Here is a 12,024-nt window from a genome sequence, read left to right as displayed (position 1 = left end):
AAAATCTCATTTCCAAACACACTCTCTTTTGGTTTTCATTTTTATTGGCACATATTTGATTATCCCAGCCATTAATTCATTAGATGATCAGAAGCTTCAGGATAACCTCTGGGTCTATGCACAATTCAAGGTTTTTATATAAATATTATAGTTTTTATAGCAACTAAATGAGATAAGTAGTATTTGTATTTTTATAGATGAAAAACTAAAACATACAAAATATAATACCTTGTGCAAGGTCAAGCAACTATTAATTAATTTACAAATGAAGATTTGAACCAAAATGTGTCTTACTCCAAAAGTGGTTGTTTATATCACTGTATCTCTCTTTAGCACTAGGGAGACAGGATAAGCTGCAAGTTTTATGGAGATGGAATAGATAGGTTTGTAAAATTGTGGCTTCAGTTTCCCATCTTTTTGTATCATTCATTCACCCAAGCACCCTGTAAAGAAAACAAGAATGTATCTTGGAACCTTCATGAGCTTTCATGCTTTCTTCCCGCATACAATATTTCCCCCTGTGTTTGCCTTCTCTTCAAAATAAGAGAAAAACCAATTTATAAACTAAAGTCATTAGAAGCTAAATTTAGAACTTCATGAAGCCTCTTGGGTGCTGATCTCAAGGGACAAAACTGTGCCATGTTAAAGGCCTGCCCCCCTTTGTATTATCAAAATAAATGAATCTAACCAAATACTCACCCCGTGAGATACTGTTATTCTCTGTCGAAAGAAACACACTTGTCTATATCTCATTCTTCTCTTTTTCACTCTTGACTAGAAATCTGAATCAATGCATAGGTCCATCTATGCTTTTGTGATTGGATATTCAGGAAAGAGAAAAGTCATAGGTGGCAAAGGTCTCAGAAAAGGGTATGTATTCATACATTTTTTTCTTTGTTTTAGTGAAGACATACCTAATGTATAATCCTTTGAGTTGTAATGCATGGAAGTTTTTTGACGAAGCTGTTAAGCATTTCAATGGTGGACTAACTTTTTCCAAATCCTAGTTGAGAAAATTTTGAAATTAAGATGATGTGCTGCAAATGAGAATATAGAATTAAAAGATATCTTGCAAAACTCATATATTCATTATATAATCAAATGATTTCTCCAGAATTTTTCATTCATTTGTTGTTTCCATAAGCACTCTTTTGCACCAACTCTGTGCAAACTACGTGCATATATGTGTTATATCCTAAGGATTCAATATAATAAATCGCAATTCTTTCCTTAAAATTTCACTAACTACAATGAAGTAGACCAAGAAAAAGGGGAATTGTTATGCTTGTCATGAAAGGAATATTGTATAGTGAGTATGAGATTAATAAAAATGATGTAACTGATAGTGCCTACAGGGGAAGGAGACTGTCTTTGAAAGAGTGCTTCTCCCTCAAAGGCATGCAAATACATGCATAGTTTCTTTTCCGTACAGATTTTATCCTGACATGCTTCAAGTTGGGTAAAAGGGGGTGCATGGAACTTAATTAAAGTTGACAGGAATCAGAGGAAGATGAATGTAATAATTAGTGTTAGTGAGGTTTCTGATTAAGTTGGAATTCAAAACATTGTAATAGAAACAAATACACTGCATTGTGTTCTCTAGGGTTAATCAGCTGTCTTAGCATAAAACCAGAACATGTATATTATCTAGTGCTACATTATGTTATTTTCATTAGGATCCTTGTCATACAAATCAATAAAATAGAAGTCCTAGATAACTCTTGGAATATTGTGAGAAAATAATGATACTTGGACTAAAAATTCCAAATCTCTTCCCACTTCTACAACATGTCCTTTACTTGATAGCCATATGGCTTAAATAACATAACTGAAATAATATAGGTTTGAAAAGACTAGAAAGGCCTCAGATGTCAAGGAGAACGTTTGGGAAGGTATCACAAATTTTGCTTCAGTCAGAAAAAAACTTTGGTCCTAAATTGTGCACAGCACCTGGATCATAGAAATTGCTCAATAAATGTTTGCTGAAGGAAAGTACGGATTACATGAATGATGTATGTTTGCTTGCTTATTGTTATACAACACTTTGTATAATTTGATAATTTTTATAATTAAAAAGAAGGTATAAATTGGATTGATACAGAAGTGAGAAGTTGGAGAGTACAGTGAGGGACGTCAAGAAGTAAGACACTCTATGAAAAATGTTGATAGGTATGGGAGAATACTGGCACCTTCTAGAGAAGGTAGTATGACCAAGATGCTACAAGGAAGGGTCCTGAAAGCACAGGCCACAAACACTGGGCTCTCAATGACTTACTACACAAGTCAGAGGCTCCACCAAATGATGAGCAGAGACCAAAACAGCAATGGTCAACCCAAGGAACAGAGGTGAGCTTGCAGTTATCAGTGACCAAATACGTTAAAAGAAAAGAAAGCTAACATGAGGATATCTTCCATCATAAGTATAAGCATCAGATTGGGAGGAAAATTATTTATTAGAGGTAAATATTTCTACTGGGTAAGCATAAATAGCTTGACTACTAAAAAAATAACAAATAACCTTATATATAAAGTCGATATGAATTTTGTGGTTACTGTAGGCAAGGCAAAATAACCCAATTAAAATGGTTATTATTCACATAATTTGCATTTTCTTTTGGGGGAAGAAGTCAGTCTTGAAAGAAGTTGATACTGACATGTCCAGCATGTCTATGTGACTATGAAGACAGAATATCATGAACACAAGATGTCATTGGAAAGCATTCAAGCAAGCAAGTTTGGATGCTACTTACCTGCGCACGCATGCACACACACACACACACACACACACACACACTGTCTCTCTCTCATGAATAAGAGACTTAACACTGCTGGCTTTTACAATTTAATAACTTATTTTTCTAGATTTGTTGGGAATATGGAAAAAAGAAATCTAACAGTTGTCAGGGAATTCGTCCTTCTGGGACTTCCTAGCTCAGCAGAGCAGCAGCACCTCCTGTCTGTGCTCTTTCTCTGTATGTATTTAGCCACCACCTTGGGGAACATGCTCATCATTGCGACGATTGGCTTTGACTCTCACCTCCATTCCCCTATGTACTTCTTCCTTAGTAACTTGGCCTTTGTTGACATCTGCTTTACGTCGACTACAGTCCCCCAAATGGTAGTGAATATCTTGACTGGCACCAAGACTATCTCTTTTGCAGGCTGCCTCACCCAGCTCTTCTTCTTCGTTTCTTTTGTGAATATGGACAGCCTCCTTCTGTGTGTGATGGCGTATGATAGATATGTGGCGATTTGCCACCCCTTACATTACACCGCCAGAATGAACCTGTGCCTTTGTGTCCAGCTAGTGGCTGGACTGTGGCTTGTTACTTACCTCCACGCCCTCCTGCATACTGTCCTAATAGCACAGCTGTCCTTCTGTGCCTCCAATATCATCCATCATTTCTTCTGTGATCTCAATCCTCTCCTGCAGCTCTCTTGCTCTGACGTCTCCTTCAATGTAATGATCATTTTTGCAGTAGGAGGTCTATTGGCTCTCACGCCCCTTGTCTGTATCCTCGTATCTTATGGACTTATCTTCTCCACTGTTCTGAAGATCACCTCTACTCAGGGCAAGCAGAGAGCTGTTTCCACCTGCAGCTGCCACCTGTCAGTGGTGGTGTTGTTTTACGGCACAGCCATCGCCGTCTATTTCAGCCCTTCATCCCCCCATATGCCTGAGAGCGACACTCTGTCAACCATCATGTATTCAATGGTGGCTCCGATGCTGAATCCTTTCATCTATACCCTAAGGAACAGGGATATGAAGAGGGGACTTCAGAAAATGCTTCTCAAGTGCACAGTCTTTCAGCAGCAATAATGACCTCAGTGACTGAATTAAATAATACTAATGTGGTGATAAGAAAGTGTGACTAGATGCTCACAATAACAGTGAGAAGAGAAACCAACTGCTATTAAATGTCTCCCTTATGCTGGAAATCGTGTTAAGCACTTTATATGAATTATCACATTAAATCCTCTGAGTAAATATATAAAAACCATATAGCATTCTTTATACAGAAAGTGAATCTTAGGGAAGTTAAATAGTCTGCATACAACCCATAGCTGATAAATAGTTTCTGACTCCAGTACAAATATACCTTAGTGATGAGAATCTCTGTGATATAGTTCCCAAATGCTACATATTAAGATAAATTTTCCTAAACTTCTTGTCTGTGAGTTCAGATTTAGAATTAAAGGGGCATAAATTCTAATGTTAATTCGACAATGTGGTAGAACACATTTTAAATAGTGAGTCTTCTTAAAAATCACTAAAATAATTTATTCAAGTTTTAAAGTATGTATGCTTTCCTCCAATCCCCTCTCACTTCAAATACAGTCAATGATTTTATTCTATTGACACATGTCCTTGTCATGTGTGTCCCTAACTGATCTCAGGCATGGAGGAACTCAGAATCTCCCAGCCATCTTTATAGGGCAGAGGCTAACTGATCTCCCCCAACAACTAGGAGTGCTTTGGGTATACAATATCTTTAGAGAAGAGATCAGGTTCTCAGCTGCATTTTTCATATGGGGAATACATTAACTTCTTTCAAAACAAAGCCTCATGCCCAATCCCTTGGGTTTTATTTTATCTTGCTTTCCTAACAAAAAATTAACATACTGTATGCAAAAATAATTATATTTGAGGTCATTCAATTAAATAGACTCCATTTAAGATATTAACCATCCAATCCAATCTAATTGTTTATTCAACCTATTCCGGTTCCTTTCTACAATTTTACATCTGAGAATGAACTAAGATCATTTCTGCTTGTCCTTTTCTAGAATTAAAATGTCTGCTCACAGACCTCTGTAATTTCTTGAACGAACACATGTATAATATTTAAAACCTTATAAACACACACGTGCACCCTTTCTCAAGGAAGACCAAATACATACATACATAAGAAAATTTAAATCCATTCAGGGAAAAAAAGTTTCTTCAAAAAAGCAACAATGTTGATATAGATATTTTAGCTCTTCTAACATGTATACCTAATTTATAATACCAAATAGGGTTTAAAAAATACCTATTAGGAGCTATGTTTATTACATAGGTGATGAAATAATATGTATACCAAACTCCTGTGACATGCAATTTACCTGTGCAAATCTGCACATGTACCCCTGAATCTAAAATAACAGTTTAAAAATGTAGATTCTCAGAATATAAATAAATAAATAAAAGCATTGGTGAAGTAAATTGTAACTTCAGTTTTACCCAATAAAAATGGGTAAGACGTGTCTGTAGTTAAAAGATTATGTCACAAAAGTGAATTCAATCCTTCACTAGAGTGTAGGTGTAGAAAACTGTTTAAGCTTAGAAGTTTCGGTGCAGGACACTGCTAGGGTTTAGAGACCATCCATGTTAGGCTTTCAAATATCCCCCAGGCCAGTTTCAGGTTGGGCAGCCTACTACCCCATGACATCCAATATTATATTGACATACTGATTTCATTTCTCTTGGATGTATACCCAATAGTGATTGCTGGATCGTACAGTAGTTCTATTTTTAATTTTTTGAGTAAACGTCATACTGTTTTCCATAAGGGCTATACTAATCTACATTCCCACCGATAGTGAAGAAAGATTCTTTTTCCTCCATACCCTCATCAAACTTTTTTATCTTTTGACTTTTTTCATAGCCACTCAGACAAGTGTGAGGTGCATCTCACGGTGGTTTTAATTGGCATTTCCCTTATGAATAACGATTTTGAGCATTTTTTCATATCTGTTGGCAATTTGAATGTCTTCTTGTGAGAAATGTCTATTCAAGTACTTTGCTCTTTTTAAAAATTGTGTTATTTGGCAGTTTTTTGCTACTGAGTTATTTGAACTCCTTATATACTTTGAATATTAACTCCTTATCAGATGTATGATTTGCAAATATTTTCTCCCATTTTGTAGGTCATCTCTTCATTCTGTTGGTTGTTACCTTTGCTGTAAAAGACTTTTAGTTTAATTTACTAGCGCTTGTTAATTTTAGTTTTGTCAATTGTGGGAGTCATATCTAAAAGATTATCATGCATACCAATGTCATAGAGCTTTCCCCCTGTGCTTTCTTCTATTAGTTTTATAGTTTCTGGTCTTCTGTTTATGTGTTTAATATATTTTGTGTTGATTTTTGTATATGGTGTCAGATAAGGGTCCAATTCCATTCATCTCCATATGGATATTCAGTTGTTCTAAAACCACTTATTGAAGAGATGGTCCATTCCATATTGTGTGTCCCTACCACCTTTGTCAAAGATCAATTGACCATGAATGTATCAATTTATTTCTATGTGTCTATTTTTATGCCAGTACCATGCCATTTTTGATTACTGTATCTTTTTATTGCATTTTAAAATTTAATTGGCATAAAATAATCATACACACTTATGGAGTACACAGGGATGTTTTGATAAATATAATGTACAGGTATCAGATCAAGGTAATTGACATATCCATCATCTCAAACACTTATTACTTGTTTATGTTGAGAACATTAAATATTATCCTTCCAGGTATTTGCAACTATATATTATTAAATATAGATATGTATATATGAGTTGCTCATAATAAAATTTGAGTTTCAAATCAAAATTTGAATTTTGGAAACTTGTGTTATTCACATGAGCTTGATGTTTTCTCAATAATTATAGATCTTTCTGATGAGATTAGAAGTGTTGTTAATACACATAATTGACTTTGTCATTGTATAATGAAGTATATTAAGAAGGTCTGCATCATTCTGTGAGCCAGTATTTGCTAGATGACCAATACATGATGTTACAAAATCATGCAATAGTGAGTGATTCATTAAGAATGCTAACGGTATATTCTGGATATTAGCCCTTTGTCAGATGAGTAGGTTGCAAAAATTTTCTCCCATTCTGTAGGTTGCCTATTCACTCTGATGGTAGTTTCTTTTGCTGTGCAGAAGCTCTTTAGTTTAATTAGATCCCATTTGTCAATTTTGGCTTTTGTTGCCATTGCTTTTGGTGTTTTAGACATGAAGTCCTTGCCCATGCCTATGTTCTGAATGGTATTGCCTAGGTTTTTCTTCTAGGGTTTTTATGGTTTTAGGTCTAACATTTAAGTCTTTAATCCATCTTGAATTAATTTTTGTATAAGGTGTAAGGAAGGGATCCAGTTTCAGCTTTCTACATATGGCTAGCCAGTTTTCCCAGCACAATTTATTAAATAGGGAATCCTTTCCCCGTTGCTTGTTTTTGTCAGAATCTACAATGAACTCAAACAAATTTACAAGAAAAAAACAAACAACCCCATCAAAAAGTGGGCAAAGGATATGAACAGACACTTCTCAAAAGAAGACATTTATGCAGCCAAAAAAACATATGAAAAAATGCTCATCATCACTGGCCATCAGAGAAATGCAAATCAAAACCACAATGAGATACCAACTCACACCAGTTAGAATGGCAATCATTAAAAAGTCAGGAGACAACAGGTGCTGGAGAGGATGTGGAGAAATAGGAACACTTTTACACTGTTGGTGGCACTGTAAACTAGTTCAACCATTGTGGAAGTCAGTGTGGCGATTCCTCAGGGATCTAGAACTAGAAATACCATTTGACCCAGCCATCCCATTACTGGGTATATACCCAAAGGATTATAAATCATGTTGCTATAAAGACACATGCACACGTATGTTTATTGCAGCATTATTCACAATAGCAAAGACTTGGAACCAACCCAAATGTCCAACAACTATAGGCTGGATTAAGAAAATGTGGCACATATACACCATGGAATACTATGCAGCCATAAAAAATGATGAGTTCATGTCCTTTGTAGGGACATGGATGAAGCTGGAAACCATCATTCTCAGCAAAGTATCGCAAGGACAAAAAACCAAACACCGCATGTTCTCAGTCATAGGTGGGAACTGAACAATGAGAACACTTGGACACAGGAAGGGGAACATCACACACCAGGGACTGTTGTGGGGTGGGGGGAGGGGGAGGGATAGCATTAGGTGATATACCTGTTAAATGACGAGTTAATGGGTGCAGTACACCAACATAGCACATGTATATATATGTAACAAACCTGCACATTGTGCACATGTACCCTAAAACTTAAAGTATAATAATAATAAAATTTAAAAAAAAGAATGCTAATGGTTTCAGATTGCAAACTGCAACTGTTTTGTAAGAGATCAATTTGTATAGTATGAACTATTCTAATGTGCAGTGAAGGTGCTCCTTTAACCTTTTCTAATTGTGCATTTGTATTACATATTTCAACTAAAACAATTACAACAGAATAAATGAATTATATCTGAGATTCACTGCATTCTGTCAAGCCAGACATTAAAGAAATTTGCAAAGTTGTACAACAATGCTTCTCATGTCACGAATTTGTTATTTTTATAAATTATTTTTAATAAAATTATGGCATTAATTTAAAAAGATTTTATTTTATTTTATTATTAAAATAAATATATAAATATATATTTATTAAAATACAGGAAATATAGGAAATAGGAATAAATTTATCCAAGGAGGTGAAGGATCTCTACAAGGAACCCTAGTAAATTCTGATAAAAGAAATTGAAGAGGACACACACAAATGGAAAGATTATTTAAATTCATTCCATGTTAATTTAAGATTGCCATACTACCCAAGGTAATCTACAGATTCAATGCAATCTCTAGCAAAATACCAATGACATTCTTCACAGAAATAGAAAGAAAAATCTTAAAATTTGCATAGAATCACAAAAGGCCCCAAATAGCTCATGCAATCCTGGGCAAAAATAAAGCTGGAGGCATCACACTACCAAACTTCAAAATACAGAACAGCAGATACAAGGGCCTACCTGAGGGTAGGGGAAGGAACATGAGAATCAAAAAACTAGGTGTAGGAAATTTGTGTAGGAAAAGCCCTTCACAAATTGAGTACTATGCCTATTACCTGAGTAGCAAAATAATCTGTACACCAAACCCCCACGACACGCAATTTACCTATATAACAAATCTACACATGTACTCCTGAACCTAAAAGTTAAAAACAATATAATACTATAGTTACCAAACAGCATGGTACTGGCATAAAAATAGAAACATAGACAAATAAAACAGAATACAAAAACCCATAAATTCATTCATGTATCTACAGTCAACTGGTTTTTGACAAAGGCACCAAGAGCACTTACTGGGGAAAGGCCAGTCTCTTCAGTAAATGGTGCTGGGAAAACTGAATATCCATATGCAGGTGAATGAAACTAGATCCCCACCTCTTTCCCTTTACAAAATTCAAAATGGATTAAAGACTTAAATATAAGACCAGAAACAATAAAACTTCTAAAAGACAAAATAGGCAAAATACTTCAAGAGTTGGTCTGTGAAATCACTTTATCAATAAGATCTCAAAAGCACAGGCAACAAAAGCAAAAATAAACAAATGGGATCACATCAAACTAAAAAAGCTTGTGCAAAACAAAGGAAACAAAAGAGTGAAAAGACAGCCTACAGAAAAAGAGAAAATATTTACAAACCATTTATCTGAAAGATAATTAATATCCAGAGTATACAAGGAATGCAATCACCTCAAATAGCAAAATAACAAACAATCTTATTTTAAAATGGTCAAATATATCTGTATTATATTTTTAGATCAGGTAGCATGATACCTGCAGCTTTGGCAGGTTTGTTTTCATTTTTTTGTTGTTTGTTTTCTTCTTTTATTATTTATTTATTTGCTCAAGATTGCTTTGGCTATTTGCAGTCTTTTGTGGTTCCATACAAGTTTTTGGATTTTTTCCTATTTCTATGAAAAACAACATTGGAATTATGGTAAGAAATGCACTGAATACATAAATGCTTTCGGCGCTATGCACATTTTAACAGTATTAATTTTTAAAACCCATGAACATGAGATATCTTTCCATTTATTTGTTTCTTCTCAATTTCCTTCAGTGTTTTATAGTTCAGTGTACAGATGACTTTTTATTCATCTATTAGGGGTTCTTTATGCTTCATGGATCTGTATGTTCATTGTCCTCTCTAGATCTCGTAAGTTTTCTGTCATTATTTCTTTAAATATTATTTTCTGTCATTATTTCTTTAAACATTATTTCCGTTTTTCTAACTCTTCTGCAGTTTCCATAATGTGTGCATTAGTTTTCTTGATAGTGTCCCAGAATTTCCATGGTTTATTCTTTTTGCTTTTCATTCCAATGATTGGGTAATCTCAAGTGAACTGTCTTTGAACTCATTGATTCTTTCTTCTGCTTGATTGAGTTTGATGCTGAAGTTCTTGATGGAATTTTTCAGTTCAGACATTATGTTCTTTATCTCCAACATTTTTTTTATGATTTCCATCTCGTTGTCAAATTTCTCATCTTTTATTGTTTTCCTGATATTGTTTAGTTGTTTATTTGTATTTTTCTGTCACTCACTGAGCTACTTTAAAAAGATTACTTTTAATTATTAGTTAGAAAGTTTGTATATCCTATTTCTTTAGGGTTGGTTACCGGTCCTTTTTTTCCTTTGGTGCTCTCATGTTTCCCCGATTCTTTACGACCTCTGTGGCCACGTTTTTATGCCTGCATATTTGAGTAGTTTTTCACCTTTTCTATCTTTACAGACCGGCATATGTAGGAAGAGCCCTTCACAAATCAGCTTGCCCAGAGATTCTGGGAGAACTATATGACTGGATCCATAGGCAGACTTGCTGTTGGAGTCCTTGAGCAGGGTGGCTTGGTGCTTTGGTCAGCAGGTGAGTGGGCCTGGCTATTGGTTCTACAGGAGCTGGCCTGGACCTAGATCCACTGGGGAAAACCTCAGGCTAATGTCCACTTGGGCGTCTGGTTTCTGGGTCCATGGGAACTGACCTGGCACAGAGGTCCACTTGGGTGAACTTTCTGACTACATACATTAGGGAAGACCTAGTGCTTGGGTCCTCAGTGGTGGTCCTGGTACCTGTGTCCATAAGAACCAACCTGAATCCTGGGTCCACATGAACTTACCTTGTGCTGGGATGAGCTTTGAGACTGAGTCTGTGAGGGCTAGCCTGGTGCTAGGATGGGCCTGGTGCCTGGGTTCATATAGGCCTAGAGCCTGAGTACACAGGAGTCATCCTGGTACTGGGACAGGCCTGGAGGCTGCGTCTACAGGGATAGGCTTATAGGCTCATAGCCTAGGTCTGCAGGGGTGGGCCTGGTCTTGAGTCCTCTGAACCTAGGGCCATGGGGACCACCCCAGGGTCTGGGTTAAGCATGGCACTGGGGCAAGCCTGGGGCCTTAGTCCACAGAGGTCTAGGATCTGGGTCCATGTGTGCTGGCCTGTTGCTTGTGGCCATGAGGGGCTAGCCTAGACCATAGTCCATGAGAGTCAGCCTGGAAACAAGGTCTCAGATGCTGGCCTAGTGGCTTTGTCTGTGTGGTTGGCCTAGACCCTATTGCCACAGAGGCCAGCCTGGTACCTGGGGCTACAATGGTTGTCCTGGAACTGCGTAGGTCTGGAGCCTATATCCACAGAGCCAAGCCTGGAGCTGGGATCTGCAGGTGCTAGCCCAGTGCTAAAGATGGCCGAAGCCTAGTCTGTGGAGTTGGCCTGTAGTCTAGTGCCATGGAAGCTGGTCTGGTGGTAGGGCAGGTCTGGAGGCTGAGTCTACAGGGGCTGGTCTGAGCTGTGGGAGTTGACGTACCAATTGGACGGGCTTCAAGGCTTAGTCCACAGATATAGTCTGAAGCATGAAGCCAAGGGGGCTGACCTGGCACTAGAGTTTATTCAAGGGCCTGGTGCTGGTACTGATTGCAAAGTTGGATGTTCACTTCACTTTCCTTCCTTCATACAGAGGGTATCTCCCTCCACACTGTGCTGCCTGGGCTTGATGTAGGGGTGATGTAAGGAATGTCAAGCTGTCCTTCCTATCCTATTCAGTAAGTCTTTTATTATTTCTGTGCTAAACCCACGTGACATAATTTTTACTTGTCGTGAAGGTAATTTTATGTGTAGGTAGTTGTTCAAATTGATGCCTATGTGAGGAGATGAGGGCCACCTTGCTAA

At 36.9% G+C, this 12,024-nt stretch overlaps 1 protein-coding gene across 1 annotated transcript; it reads left to right on the top strand.

Moving 5' to 3' along the window:
* Nucleotides 1-725: 725 nt before the first annotated feature.
* OR1C1 (olfactory receptor family 1 subfamily C member 1) lies at nucleotides 726-6,436 on the top strand. The gene is made up of 2 exons (NM_012353.3): nucleotides 726-870; nucleotides 2,863-6,436. Exon 2 carries the CDS (start codon nucleotides 2,876-2,878, stop codon nucleotides 3,818-3,820), a length of 945 nt encoding a protein of 314 aa, NP_036485.2. The 5' UTR covers nucleotides 726-870; nucleotides 2,863-2,875; the 3' UTR covers nucleotides 3,821-6,436.
* Nucleotides 6,437-12,024: the final 5,588 nt, after the last annotated feature.

This window comes from Homo sapiens, chromosome 1, assembly GCF_000001405.40.
Source record: "Homo sapiens chromosome 1, GRCh38.p14 Primary Assembly".
Classification (NCBI taxonomy): domain Eukaryota; kingdom Metazoa; phylum Chordata; class Mammalia; order Primates; family Hominidae; genus Homo; species Homo sapiens.
Note: the sequence above shows the minus strand (reverse complement) of the source record. Positions and strands in the feature narration are given on the sequence as shown.